At 37.3% G+C, this 15,807-nt stretch overlaps 1 long non-coding RNA gene across 20 annotated transcripts in view; it reads right to left on the bottom strand.

The window, feature by feature from the left end:
• The window catches only part of TNPO1-DT (TNPO1 divergent transcript), a 245,434-nt gene that overhangs the window by 182,194 nt on the left and 47,433 nt on the right, over positions 1-15,807 (bottom strand). For 9 of the 20 annotated variants that reach the window (NR_186516.1, NR_186514.1, NR_186515.1 and 6 more), the window contains 2 exons: positions 9,302-9,616; positions 8,307-8,362 (listed from right to left, as the gene is read on the bottom strand). This is a non-coding gene — a long non-coding RNA (TNPO1 divergent transcript). Of the gene's footprint in view, positions 1-3,328; positions 3,445-4,946; positions 8,363-9,301; positions 9,617-15,807 lie in introns of those variants that run through there. The other 11 variants (NR_105007.2, NR_186513.1, NR_186522.1 and 8 more) reach the window with 7 other exon arrangements.

Genomic DNA, 15,807 nt, shown 5'->3' on the forward strand with positions numbered 1-15,807 from the left:
TTGATCATTCATGCTGGGGAAACCAGCTACCATGTCATGAGAATACCAAAACAGCCCCATGGAGATATCCAAGTGGTGAGGAACTGAGGCCTCCTCCAACTGCCAGCATCAACTTGGCTAACCCTATGAGTGAGCCCGTTTGGAAATGGATCTTCCCGCCCCAGTAAAGCCTTTTGAAGACTACAGCCCTGATCAACATCATAACTGCCAAGTGATGGATTAGCAAATCTCATGGCAGACCCTGAGCCAGAACTATGCAGCTAAGCTATTCCTGAGTTAATGACCCTCAGAAACTTTGTGAAAAATAAATTACTGTTCTTGTTGCAAGTTTTAGGATGATTTGCTAAGCAGCAATATTTAACCTATATACCTAATTTATATCTACATGAATAAGACAACAAAGTAATCCTCCCAAATGAAGAAAAAGACTTCCCCCACAACACATTTTATCTTCTACCTTTAGTCAACTAAAGCAAATTTCTGGCACTTTTCAAATTGAGTCACATTTTTGTCTCCACTTAGAGACAACTGTGTTCAAAAATATAAAGTCTGGGTCCAAAACACCCACTATAGTACCATACAGGCAGCTAGCTAGGCTGCAAGGACTGCTAAATTAATTTAACAAAGCAGAACAAAAATTAGTCTAAATAGTATCTATGGGTAAACAACATCATTATACTCAATTATCTGACTCAGAAGAATAGCCAAAAAATCTGACAGTAATTTGATTTTAAAAGAGAACTATGATAAAATGCTATTATTAAAGAAAAACTAAGTGGTATATTTTCTAAAGCAAAATATCCACAGAAACAAACACATTCAAAATATTTTATTGAAACTCCAAGGAAAATGCTGGCCTTCACATAAGGTGAAGAGCTTAAATAAATCTCAGAGGACTAACTGCAATGTTAGAGGCAAATTAGGATGTGATAAGTAGTGCAAAAAGAAATCACCAGAACCCGAGATAACTACCCAAGTTTTGGAGGATCTCAAAGATGAGATCATGTGTTGTCATCATGTGTGGTTTTGTATTGTACGCTTCATGTGTCTGTCTCTTAACCTAAATTGTAGCTTTTAGAAAGTACGGACTCAGTACCTAGCTGAATTTACTGCTCATAGTAAGTGCTCTAGTCTGAGTTCTCTAGAAAAAAAAAAAAATGAGTGTGAGGCCAGGCTTATGGACAAGTGTAATCCCAGGGCAGCAAGAGAAAAGGAAAAGAAAATTGAAGCAGCAGAATATGGGAAGCAAATGTAAGGTAATGCATTGATCACACTGGCTACTATTCCAAAACAAGCATTGCTTGACTCCCACTTGGCCATGCAGGACCTGTCTGGGCAGGCTATATGGAAAAATCATAACTCAGAACAGTCCACTACAGGGAGAAGTAGGGAGAGAATTTTTCTGCTAGCTCCATCCTGATTCCTATTTCCCCCTAATCAAAATTTGCTCTATGAAGAGTGGATTCCTCTGAACACCCAGGCGGTGGCCACTTCGGCAGCCACTAGCAGCTAGTCTTCTATGTAGAACTTCATAGAAATCTAGTAATGGTAAGATAGGCCAGAGATTCTGAGTGTTAGCCTCAGGTAAGAGAAATGCATGGGCCCACGTAGAGCTCTTCACCACAGTAGCTATGGCAAAGCCATAAAAACACAAGGCTTTAGAAGTCAAGTAAGACTGAAAGACTGCATTTGATATAGCCATTGTTGGTAGATATCTGTGGCTAGACCCTTCTTGTAGTCTGAACGACAAACAGGAAAATAACAGGTACCCAGTATAGCTTCAAATTTCAGTTTTATCCAACTTAATACATAAATCTAGCTTATCTAGTCAGCTTCAGCCAGCTTTTACCCCATACCAGCAGGGCATCATTGTCTTCGAGATACAGCTGAGAGACAAAAAAATGTATTGTCATATTGTCAGTCTTCTATCAAAATTGATCTTTCTAGGAACAACCATCAGGTTTTGGTCAAATTGCTCTTCTCAAATCTTCCCAATGTTTCAGGCTGGTTTCAGAATCCAAAAAATCCAGCCATATCCTGAGTAGCAGCCCAGGTTGATTCATTTTATGCAAATTTTTAGTACATGAATTGGAAATACTAGTAAAGGTATATTTTGTGCATAAAATTTGAAATAATTCAAATTCCCTATTTTTTAAAAGAAATTGCATAAGTTTGAAGCTTGTAAATGGTATTTATATTATTGCCATTTATTGGATCTACTTTAAATGGTAAACAAGCAAACCTACTGTCATTTTTCAGAATGAGTCATGAATTATGTGAGATACTTTAAAACATATACTCACAATGCATCTTCCTGGAATTTTGCTAGTGTTAATATCATTTTACAGATGAAGAAACTGAGTCATACGGTTGAATTTTGGGTCTCAAAGCCAAAGTGTTCAAACTCCAAGTCTTTTCCATTATGTTACATCCATGGTTCCATTCCTATCAACTTGGTGTTATGATCACATGTAATAAGCAAACTTGATCTTCACACATCACATTAATAAAAACATTGGCTGAGCCTGCAATATTCTACCCAATTTGTTCCTTTAAGTTGATTTTAAGCTAGTAATAGATATTCTTTTTATAGTATGGGTCAACTACACATCCATTTATCTACTCTAAATGTCAGCAAGACATTTATCTCCAAGTTCACCATTTATCTCCAAGAAAGTAATAATGGCAATAACCATAAGAATACTAATATTTTTCACTTTTTGAGTACCTGGTACTGCCTTGGAGTCTTCACATATATTATTTCATTTAATTCTCATAACAGCCATGTAAGGCTGTACTATCATCATTTTCATTTTATAGATAGGAAAGCTGAGGCTCAGAGACATTAAATAATTTGGCCCAAATCACATAGCTAGCAAGACTATACTTAGTTCTGGACTCAGATTTTTTACCATTGGCCCAAAGTACGTTATGTTTGCATAGTACATTATATTTGCAAAGTACGTTAGAACTAAAAACAAAAATGTTTGTACATGTGCATTAACTCATTTAATATTTATCACAACTCATTTTATCATTATCACAGCTCATTTTACAGATATGGAAACAGAGGGTCAAGGAGTTTAGATGTCTTTTCCAAGTCAAAAGATATATTTTCTTATAGCTAATGAATGTCAGAGATGGGAGTCAAAGCTCTAGACTCCTTGGTCAGGGTTCTTTGTATGCACTGTTTCTCATTAGAGACTATCAAATGCTTGGTTGAAATCAAGACTATCTGTATTCAACTCATTATTTGCTAATCTATCATCCTAGAAACATCATCTAAAAATTAGTATCCACAAATCCTATTAAATAAAATATCACTTACAACAGTTATGTTCACAAGTTCCTGCCCTCTGAATTAATGAGCAACTTCTACCTTCATGGTTGTAACTGTAGATTTATGCTGCGGCCCCAGGCAAATTTCAGAGAAAAGAGCGATATCTGAGAAAATGATAAGATCCTTACAGTAATACTGAAAACAGGAGTATGGCAATAAGGGTCCTCAAAATAGCTGACGTCTTCAAGGGAAACTAACAAGAGTGTTAGAGAAGGGAAGATAGGACCAGGAGGCTAGAGATGAACAAAAACAAAACACCACATAGTGAAGGCACCTTGACACACTGATAGAAATACAAAGAAAGTTCTCTTGAAAAGTTTCTGATACTTTATTAAAATAATGGTTTATTTAGTAGGATTGGGTTTGGCCATATATAACAGAAAGACCCGAAGTAACAGTGGAAATAAGATGAAAGTTTATACCTCTTTCACATAACAGAAGGCCAGAAATTGGTAGTTCAATGCTAGTGTTAAGGCTTCGTGGTGTTAGAGGCCCAGGATCTTTCTACATTATTGTTTGCCATTTATGGCTTCTATTCCTGATGTCACCTCATGTTCCAGAATAGCTGCTGGAGCTCCAGGCATTAGGTATACATTCCAGGCAATGGGAAAAAAGAAGGGGGAAAGAAGGGTCTACTCTCTCCTTTTAAAAGAGATTTTCCCAAAATAACTCACAACACTTGCATTTTTATCTTTTTGAGCAGATAATCCACCCACACCTAGTTGCAAGGAAGGCTTAAGTCCATTATTTGGGTGTATTGCCGCCATATAAATGCAAGATTCTGTTCGTAAGGAGGAGAGAGAATGGATATTTGAATGTCCAACCACCAGGCTCTGCCACAAATGGGTAAAGGGTAAATATAACAATAATGAGATATAATAATTTACTTGAGATACCTCCTCAAAGACATCCACATCAGGATATTCCAATACCATAAGTAGGTATCATAATACATTTTAGATTTATAAAATTTTTAATGTAAAATCAATTTAGGAACTTTTGTAGTAAGAATAATGGGAATAGATTGGCTGTGAAGCAAAAAATGAGAAAGCTAAGTTTTGTATACCAAAATCATAATATTCCTCTAATCTGGTGGTTGGCTTTTGTCCTCAGGCTGTGTAGCTGGACACACATGATAAGAAACCTTTTACATTTACTGTCATCTTCATTCCCAAATTGTTACACTACAGATTTCTTAAATTGAACTTGTAGCAGCCTGCTTTTCTACTTAACTATATTCATATTTCAAGCAAGCACAGCTCAAATTTCAAGGGAAAACTATCAAAAGTGACATTTAACTCCTATACATTCAAAATACTGCATAGAAACTAACCATTCACCTCTTTCTAAAATCATATGGAAATATGTGATTAAAGCGAAGGAAATTTTGAAAAATTAAGACATATGATGCATTCCTATGCAAAAATAATTGTTTTTCTAAATAAATATAACTTTTTTTTTTTTTTTGCAGAGATCCAGGGGTCTCACTATGTTGCCCAGGCTGGTCTTGAAATCCTGGCCTCAAGTGATCCTCCGGGCTTAAATGATAATAAAATAACTAACTTAATGATAACAAACAATTAACACTTATTAAATGATGATTATGTACCAAGAGGAGAGCTGAGTACTTTATTTATTCAATCATAAACTGTAACAGCTTCAGTGTATTGTCTTAAAATTTTATGCCTTAGGCTCTGTCTTTCATTTATCCTTTTCACAAACATTTGTCAAACACTTACTAAGGTGCCTAGCCCTATACTAAAAGATAAGGATGCAGATATAAAGGAAAGAGACTATTCTAAGAAAGCTCATAGTACTTAAAAAAAAAAACTGGAAAAGGGGAAAAATAAAATGAGTATATTCTAAATCCTGCATGTACTGGCTCTGGACTAGACCATCTTGGTTTAAAATCTGGCTCTATGAGTGTCCCTCTGTAGGACTTGAAGCAAATCACATAATTTCTCTAGGTTTCAGTGTCCTCTGCTGAAAAATAGAGATTACCAAATTACTGAATGAGATAATCCATGTAAAGCACTTAACTTAGTGTTTGGCACAATGTAAGTACTCAATAAGAGTCTGTTGTAATTATTATTTGCTTGTGTAAATGATAGCATCCGGGGACTAAAGGAACACTAGAAAAGACACTGAACTCAGACATGAAGCTGAGGAGACGTTAGAAGGAATGATAGCTAAGTGGAGTATTGAAGGATGTGCAAGTCAGCTATTCCCCCCAAGTTCTCCTGCTTTCCAAAGGCAACCTTCTCTTCAATGCCCAAATGACAATAGCCTGACCTACATCCCTGTAAAAGCAGAAAGTCACATCTTTCATTTGGTTACTTTCTCAAGTATAGCAGTGAAAACCTGAGGAATGATGGCAAGTTCTGCAAATTCTTGGGATCCCCCAGACAGATGCTGTTTCTGGATTATTGGGCTACTCCATGCACAGCATCTCCGCTCAGACCTAACCCCTGCCCTAGACTCTTTCTGCCTCCCCAGCATCATGTAGACCCCAAGCATGGACATAGATCCTTTCATTAATGCCCCCAAGGCACATCTAGGAAGGGGCTATCCCTTTAAATAAGGCTTCACTAAAAGATTTGAAAGAATAGAATACCCCTAGAAGGCAACCTATAGCATGACTAAAGGTGGTTACTTTGAAAGCCACAGACCAAACACAAGTTGACTCTCTCTACCCGACTCCCACAGGTATTTTTTCTAATAGGAGTGGGAGTCAGCTGCACCCCCATCCACAGAAATCTTCAGACACTTCCATATACCAGAGGACAATCTCAATTCCCTCTTTGCTCCCAAGAAACAAGGATTGATTGCCTTCACTCCATTGTCCAAGACCCTTTTCTTTTTCACCTCAGGATGGCAGGAATATGAGAACCCAGTTCCTTCAGGTTGAGGCTGCCCTCATCTCAAAGACACACCCGGGACAATCACTAGAGTGAGTCGTTAAACATTTTTCCAAATCAGGGCTGTTCCTTCTTAAATAGCTTCTGTGTAGGACACCAATGGTCCAGTTCATCTAGCTTCAAGCCGCTCTATATCCTTATCACAGAATTCTATTTGCCTTGAGGGGAAAGGAAGTCCAGACCTGCATGATCTTCCTGCCATGGTTCCCAACCTTGAAACGATGCTGCTTGAACAAAAAGACATGTAATTCCACTAACACAATAATTTTCATGTAAAGGATAGTCTAAATCCAGATTTAGGATTTTTTTTCATTAACTTGCTAATACACTACATTTATATTATTAAACAAACACTTAATATCTTACTCTAAAACTTTTGCATTTGAGATTATTACTTTACATCTTGGGCTTCCCCCAGAAAAATGGATAGGTGTTTGCTCTACAAATACATTACTAAAATAATTCACTCAAGTTGTCCACACTAAAACAAAGGGAAGTTTCACCCCAAAGACAAATGCTTACCTGTTAAGTGTCTCATTTTCTGAGTTCTGCTCTCAACTAGATTATGTGTTAGGATTCTTGCTGCTTTTCCACAAGTGTATGCTTCAGTAGTTTAGAATGGAAATAGCCCAGAGCATTTTAAAAGCAGTATGGAACTGTCTTGATAAAAGGCATTTTAGCATTCTACCATTGAACACAACAATATCCCTTGGCCAGGAACTCTTTGAGGAATGTTAGACATATAAAGTAAAGCCCTGTGGTGGTTAATTTTAGGTGCCAACCTGACCGGATTAAGGAATATCTAGAGAACTGGTAATGGATCATTTCTTGGTGTGTCTGTGAGGGTGATTCTGGAGGAGACTGGTGTGTGAGTCAGTAGACTGACCAGTGAAGATCTGCCCTCAATGTGAGCTGGCACCACCCAATTGGCTGGGGATCCAGATAGAACAAAAATAAATTTCCTCTCTTCTAGAGCTGAGATACATTCTTCTCCTGTCCTTGGATATCAGAACTCCAGGCTCTCTGGCTTTTAAACTTCAGGGCTTATACCAGTGGCCCCCCAGGTTCTCAGGCCTTCAGCTTCAGACTGAGAGTTAAACAGCAGCCTCCCTGGTTCTGAGGGCTTCGGACTTAGACTGAGACATGCTACAGGTATCCTGGGGTCTCTAGCTTGCAGATGGCCTGTTGTGGGGCTTCTCAGCCTCCATAATCATGTAAGCCAATTCCCCTACTAAATCCCCTCTCATATGGCTGTATCTAAATCTATCTATTGATTTATCTTGCTTTCTTTCTATCTACTTAAGAACTCTTGACAAATGCAAAGTCCCTGTCTAGAGACCAAGGAAAACCACTTTTTGGATAGTCAATAACTAGTTGGCATTCAAATACATACCCCAAAAGATGTTCATTAACATTACTCAAGTAATGATTTAAAACTCAGTGACTCATTATCTTCCCAGTATTATGCTACAAGTGTTTGAGATCAATATAAAGTACCCACACTAAAAACAGATCACTTTCTTCAAAGACTCAAAAGTGTTACAATTTATCAAGACACAGCTTGACAAAAGAGTCACGGGTAAGAACAGAAGTTTGTACAGCAGAAGTGTGTGAACTTTCAAGGATAAATTATAAATGGCATTGCAGATTCCACATTAGTCTTTTGTAATCCAAAGATCCAGACACCATGTTGAGAGGACACTCAAGCAGCCTCATGGAGTGGCCCATGTGGCCAGAAATTGAGACTCTTAGCCAACAGCCAGAACCAACTTACCAGCCATATGAGTGAGATACCTTGAAATTGAATGTTCCACCCTCAGTCATGTGTCCAGATGATGTAGCCACAGCTGACATCTGACTGCAAACTCATAAGAGACCCTTGAGCCAGAACACCCAATCAAATTACTCCAAAATTCCTCACCAATAGTAACTGTTAGAGAGAATAAATGACTGTCGTAGTTTCAAAAAAAACAAAAAAAAAGAACAGAACAGAGGTTTGAAAAGAGGAAGTTTCTTGTTCAAGTAGGTAAGTAGCTTGTTCTACTTACTAGCTTTGTGATCTTTAGCCAATATATTTAGCTTCACTGTGCCTCTTTTTTCTCATCTGTAAAATAGGGCCAGGGGTACACACATCACTAGGTTAATGAAGATAGTGTTTGTCAAGGATCAGCAACAAAGCCTGGTACACAGTAGGCAGTCAACAATTACTATATCATATTGATTCTAAAATGCACACTTATTTTCACATTTTAACATCTCTGAAATTGAAATGGATCTTATATTGTGTTATGGTTTAATGACAGTTTTTTTCTCTTTCTTAATGTTCATAAAATAACAGTACATCTTATAGTCCATGGCATCTTAAGTTGATGAAATGCAGTAATTTCTTCTCTCTCTTACTACTGTATCCAAGAATGTATTTTACTTCCTCACAAACCTGACAAGTAACACAAAAAATAAAAGGAGCACTATAACAAGGGGTGCCTTACAACCATTTAGAATAATCGAGAACTATTTTTTCCCATTTCACCTGACTATTTCACTTTTAGAGCTGTGATAAGAGCAACTGAGATTTTTGTGAAATAACAGGATTGTTTAAAAGGGCTCTTTTTGCCTTTTTCACAGACGGGCCTTATTTAAATTAAAAAAAAAAAACTAACTAATTTCAACCAGGCGCGGTGGCTTACGCCTGTAATCCCAGCACTTTGGGAGGCTGAGGTGGGTGGATCACCTGAGGTCAGGAGTTCAAGACCAGACTGGTCAACATGGTGAAACTCCGTCTCTACTAAGAATACTGGCATGCACCTGTAGTCCCAGCTATTCAGGAAGCTGAAGCATGAGAACTGGAGTTGCAGTAAGCCAAGATCACGCCATTGCACTCCAACCTGGGCAACAAGAGTGAAACTCCATCTCAAAAAAAGCAAAAAGCAAAAAACCTAATTTCTAACTCTATGTGTCAGGGTTCTCCAGAGAAACGGAACTAGAGAGGAGATAGATATATAGATAGAGAGAGAAAGAGATTTATTATTAGGAATTGGCTTACATTATGATGGAGGCTAAAAAGTACCGTGATCCACCATCTGCAATCTGGAGGCCCAGGAAAGTTGATAGTGTAGCTCCAGTTAGAGCCTGAAGGCCTGAGAACCAGGGTGTAAATCCTCATCCAAAGGCTGGAGAAGGTGAGATGCAATGTCCCAGCCCAAGCAGGTGGGCAGCAAGAAAAAAGGTGAATTCTTCCTTCCTCCTTCTCTTGTTCTCTTCACGCCTTCAACAGATTGGATGATGCCCACCCATATTGGAGAGAGCCATCTACTTTAATGAGTCCACGAATTTGAATGCTAATCTCATCCAGAAACATCTAGAAAGACACAACAGAAATCATATTTAGTCTAGGCACCCTGTGGCCAGTCAAGTGGACACACACAATTAATCATCTTACTCTAGATAACATAATTCTATGAGAGAAAATAAATTATCCTTATTTTAAAATGTTCCATTTATCCTATACTTGTTGGTTCTGCCAAATCATCTAGTATTTTTAGGCATGTTAAGTTATTTTGGCCCAAGTCCTGGTTTTAGAAATGATTCATATGATTCACCTGTAATCCTAGCATTTTGGGAGGCCAAGGTGCAAGGATTGTTTGAGCCCAGGAGTTCAAGACCAGCCTGCAACATAGCAAGGCCCGATCTCTTAAAAATACATATATATATATATATATATATATATATATATATATCCATCACCTTCCATAGTTACCTGGCCAGGGGCAATGGCTCACACCTGTATTCCCAGCGCTTTGGGAAGCCGAGGTGGGCAGATCACTTGAGGTCAGGAGTTCAAGAACAACATGGTGAAAACTTGTTTCTATAAAACTACAAAAATTAGCTGGGTGTAGTGGCACGTGCCTGTAATCACAACTACTCTGGAGGCTGAGACAGGAGAATCGCTTGAATCCAGGAGGCAGAGGTTGCAGTGAGCCAAGATCACGCCACTGCACTCCAGCGTGGGCAACAGAACAAGACTTCATCACACAAAAAAGAAAAATAAATGATTCATATGAGAACAGCCATGAATGAATGCTCACAAACACACCTAGGTCACCTGTCCCCTTCTTCCTGGGATGCCCTTTCTCTTTGTCTCCCTGTCTAGCTTTTGCCTCTCAATCTATTCTCTTTGCCTCTCTATCTATCTCTTTGGCTGTCTATCTACCAAGAGCCAGCTACTGAAACAAGACACTATAGAACCTTAGAAACATTTCCTGATATGCCCAATTCAAAGTCAACTTCTTCTCAACTACTTCATTACTATATGAATAAAATAAGAGAACCCAAGGAATCACAAATGAACATGTATACTGACTAAGAAATTAGACCTTCCCTGAAACTTGATCAGTCTTGCCTTGTCACCATTCCTAGAAAACAATGAGTTCTTGATAAGTGTTGAATGAATCTTTACCTTGCTTCTCACTATCATTCTAGTTTTTCTAATATCTCCCAGGTATTTATAGCATTTTCCTTTGTTTACTTGAGCAAGCAACAGCAGACTCTTCAATCTCCAGGTCATATTTACTCTTGCTGTGCCCATCAGAAGCCCAATGCCTACCTCCATCCTCCTTTTCCCTCCTCACCCCCAGACTCTACAACTTCAGGTTGTGAAAGATACCTAGTTTGCTAATGACCCTGACCAACTTTATATATCTTCTTGACACACTATAATAACTATAAAAAATAGAATACTAAACCAAAAATTTAATTTTAAAAAAACTATGGGAGAGAGAGAGAGAATAGAGTAGGGGCAGAGGCAAAAGTTACACTACTCTGAATATATTTCATTTTGTATATTTGACTTTGAGGACACATAAATATTTTACATAATTATAAAACAAAATTAAATTTAAAAATTAAATTCTATAAAACAAAAACAAAATTTTAAAAATAGATCACACAAATTATTTCCAATGACTTTATAACACAATAATTTGGTTGTTTAATCCTAGTAAGATTAAACCTAAAGACAAAAAGTACTATATAAATAACAATAAATTGGGCCAGTGCAGTGACTCACACCTGTAATCCCAGGGCTCTAGAAGCCTGAGGTAGGAGGGTCATTTACGCCCAGGAGTTCAAGACTAGCCTGGGCAACATAGTGAGGCCCTGCCTGTACAAATAATTTTTAAATTAGCTGGGTGTAAAGGAGTGCTCCTGTAGTCCCAGCTATTCTGGGCTCAAGATTACAGTAATCATGCCATTGCATTCCAGCCTGGGTGTCAAAGTGAGACCTTGTTCTCTAAAAATAAAATAAAATAATTATAAATTGTCTGCAGTAAACACATTGTTGGTATAGTGTTGATACAGTTATTTTTGGGGGTTATGTTCTGTGGGACAAAGCAAATGAATAATTATGTTGGTGTCCTTGAGAAGCAACCAGTTTCTTCATGGAGAAAGAAGATACAGATGACATAAGATTGATAATGTTAAACAAAAACCCTGTGATCCTGAGTTTGAATTAGAAGTATCAGTATGAATTCATCATTTATTTTATTTTTTAAAATTCCTGGCTCTGTCTACTGGAAACACCTATAAACTTGACTGTAGTTTGAAAACATCATTTCCACTAAAAAACACAGGATACATTGGAGAAATAGCTGTTTCCAAACCTGGGACAGAAAATGTGCCAAATGAAGCTGGAATATCAGACTATACCAAAAAGCAAGGAAACTATAAAAGACTAGTGTGAGCCTGTCAAAGGACTCAAGAGCCAAGCAATTCTCTCACTGGCCAAAGATGAGACAATGTGGGCATTAGTAGGGATTAAAACACATCAAATAAATTTAAACTCATGAATTCATAATTATTCTTTTAAAAACTCATTGGTCACATATGGAGGATGCTGGAGAAGCAATTCACTATTTTGAAAACTGATAAATAAAGAGAAAGAATCAAGCATAAGCATAAGTCTTTTTTTTATGCATACTATACTTCAGACCATAATAACCATATTTTATACAGAGAGGTTTATCTTTATAGAAATAGCCCAGCTAATAAATAATGATACAATTTAAATATAATCCTTTTGTAAACCCTCATGAAATAATGGATCTGAAAAAATCCATTATTGTGTGTGGCTGCTAACATCACAAAAAAGTAACATTATTGTGTCTGGATAGAAGTACACAAGACCACCTATGAAGTAGCCACACACCAAATAATCAAAGAGAAATCTCTTAAGCCTACAAAAATACAAGGAACAAGTTACAGAAATACAAAGAACAGCAGAATGTGTTAAGCAATCACCTAGAGGTGTGTCTTTGCCCATTCAGGCTGCTCTAAAAAATATACAATAAACTGAATGGCTTATAAAAAACAGAAATTTATTTCTCAAATTCTGGAGGCTAAGAACTCCAAGATCAAGGCTTTGATGTCTAGCAAGGGCCCACTTATAGTTCATGGACAACCATATTTTTACCATGTCCCCACATGGTGGAAGGCACACAAGGTCTCTCTTGGATCTCTTTGATGAAGGGCACTAATGCCATTCATGAGGGCTCCACCCTCATGACCTAATTACCTCCCAAAAACCTCATCTCCTAATACCATTCCCTTAGAGACTGGAATTTCAGCATATGAGTTTTGCAGGGACACAAACATTCAGACCACAGCAGGATGCAAGAAGCAGAATCCATACCATGATTCATTCTACAGGACAAAATGAGCCAGTTTCTTCAACAAAGAAATTACAAAGGAAAAAAGAGGAGATGGGGCAAATATATATATATATATATATATATATACACACACACACACATACATCTGGGTTTGTTTGTGTTTTTTTTTTTTTTGAGACAGGGTTTTCTTTTTTGTTTTTTGATTTGTTTTTTGTTTTTCAGACAGAGTTTTACTCCTGTCACCCAAGCTGGATTGCAGTGGTGCAATCTCAGCTCACTGCAACCTCCACCTCACAGGCTCAAGCAATCCTCCTGTCTTAGCCTGCCAAGTTGCTGGGACCACAGGCACACGCCACCGTGCCCAACTAATTTTTTTTATGTACTTTTTTGTAGAGACAGGGTTTCTCTATTTTGCCTAGGCTAGTCTCGAACTTCTGAGCTCAAGTGATCTGGCCACCTCAACCTCCCAAAGTGCCAGGATTACAGGCATTAGCCATGGCACCCAGCCAACAATTATATATTAAAAGAGACTTAAGAAGCATACCAACTAATAGCAGTATGCAGTGTGTGTTTAGATCATGGTTCAAACAAACTCTGAAAAAAAATTGAGTTAATTAGAGAAATTTAACTAATAACTATTTTATAGTATTAAGAATCATTCATTTTTTAGGTGAAATAATAGTACTTAATCTTTTAAAGATATTATTAAAATATTTGCTGATAAAATGATAGGATGTTCAGGATTTGTTTCAAAATAACCCAGGACTGAGGGAAGGGAATGGAGACGTAGATAAAATTCAGTCAAGAAATCACTGAAGCTGAATTAACGGGTACCTAAAGCGGGGTTCATTATACTATCTATTCACTCTACTTTTGAATATGTTTGAAATTTTCCATAACAAAAAGTTTTCAAAACTTGTTTTAAAACATGTTTCCATTAAATTTTTTACAGTATCATTGTAAAAAAAAAAAAAAACAGTACAATATATCTCACACCTACAGTGAATGAATCATGTAGAATATTCAAGAAGTGCTAAAGATAACATGCTGGCATGTAAGTAAACTTGTCAAGTTTCCTCAAGGTGGTCAGATACTGTTTGCTCCAACACACCGATCTTCATGTAACACCACTTCTGGAAGATTCTCAGTCACCTATAATACTGAATATGTTGTTGAACATCTCGGAAACAATTGTACTCAATCCCCTGGGTCCCCTGGCAATGCTAAGGCTTTTCCTGAGCATCTGTGGCTCTGTGTCTGGGCCCCTGATTTTAGACTTACTGGTGCCAGTAAGTCTCAATGACTGAGGTCCCTCACATTTGAGGCTACAAAAATTTCTTGTACAAAGAAGATAAACACCCCTGGCTCCTCTTGTGCAGTATTCTGCTCATCTTTCAAGGTCTTAAGTACACAAAAAGATTATATTTAACTGACTAAGGCTGCTGGACCTGGACATGGGACCAGGATGGCAGCAGGGAGAGTGACAGCAGCCGCAAGAGCAGCAGTGGCTGCAGCCAAGGGAGAAAGAAGGGATTCTGCGTGTAGGCATCACTGGGACCCATAGAGGGAGACGGGCTTGGCCATCAGTCCCTGGAGCCTAACCTTGTGGTGTCTGTACAAATATTAATTCTGGCCTGAGGCCAAGATAGGAACTGCCAGGACACAGGCAGTAAACTCTCAGTAGATTATTACAAAATAAAACTGCACACACGGACATTGCGAGAAAGCATATCAGGGAGTCATTAAAATTCTCTAAAGAGTTTAGAATCTTACATTTTGAAAATAGCCTCAACATTACAAAGCTGCTTAGAAAGAGAAATAGGCTTGGGAATGGAAAAGAAATTTAAAGATCGTGGCTTAAAAATATAAAACAAATTTAAAGATGGTGGCATTTGATAGAAAAATACACTAGTTTCATATGAAGCTTCAAATGAGCAAACTATTAATGAGTAAAACAATTTCACATTTATTTATTTATTTTTGAGACAGGCTTTTGCTGTGTTGCCCAGGCTGGAGAGCAGTGGCTAGTCACAGACATGATCATGGCACACTATAGCTTTGAACTCCTGGACTTAAGGGATTCTGCCTTCAACTCCTGGATTCAAGGGATCCTTCTGCCTCAGGCTCCGAAGGAGCTAGGACTGCAGGTAGGTGCCATCATGGCAGCTGAGACCATGTTTAAATTAGTTTTTTCCTTATAATTGAAGATACATTGGTAGACTGCATAAACCATCATTTTGAATTTTATACAAATCAAGAAGCCACATTTAATTTCTTGTACAGCCTCTACAAGTTATAGGAAATGTCAAAGGAAACATTAAGAAACCACTGTATAAATTTACATTTAAAATTAAATTTAGTCTTATACAAAATTAATTTGTATAAAGAATTAAATATTTTTAGAAAAATTGCTCCAAGAGAATCATCAGCTCTACATATGCTAAAATTTTTATTTCAAAACAATTTATCAGGCTGACCTGAGAGTAGTGAGTTATCTCAATTGATTATTCAGTCAGTTACAGATCAAACTCTTTGTTCTACTCTTTCCGCCTTCTCACTACTATACTTAACTAGTCTTAAAATATAGTAGCAATAATAATTTATCAGAAATGTATCCCAAATGTAACAGGCTACAAAATACTCTTAACAGCTCCAATAACAATTGCATCAGCAGTAAGATCCTCGTCAAAATTTAAAATTATCAAAAATTATTTGCAATCTGACATTTTCCAAGAGAAACTAATGTCACTTTCAATTGCATCAATTGAAAATAAAATTTCTAAAAGTTTAAATTTTGATGATCCATTAAATGAGTTTGTGGAAAAGCAAGCCTGAAAAATCTTAACATTAATCAAGATATGACATTAATAAAGTAGTATTATAT

Source organism: Homo sapiens, chromosome 5, assembly GCF_000001405.40.
Source record: "Homo sapiens chromosome 5, GRCh38.p14 Primary Assembly".
Classification (NCBI taxonomy): Eukaryota; Metazoa; Chordata; class Mammalia; order Primates; family Hominidae; genus Homo; species Homo sapiens.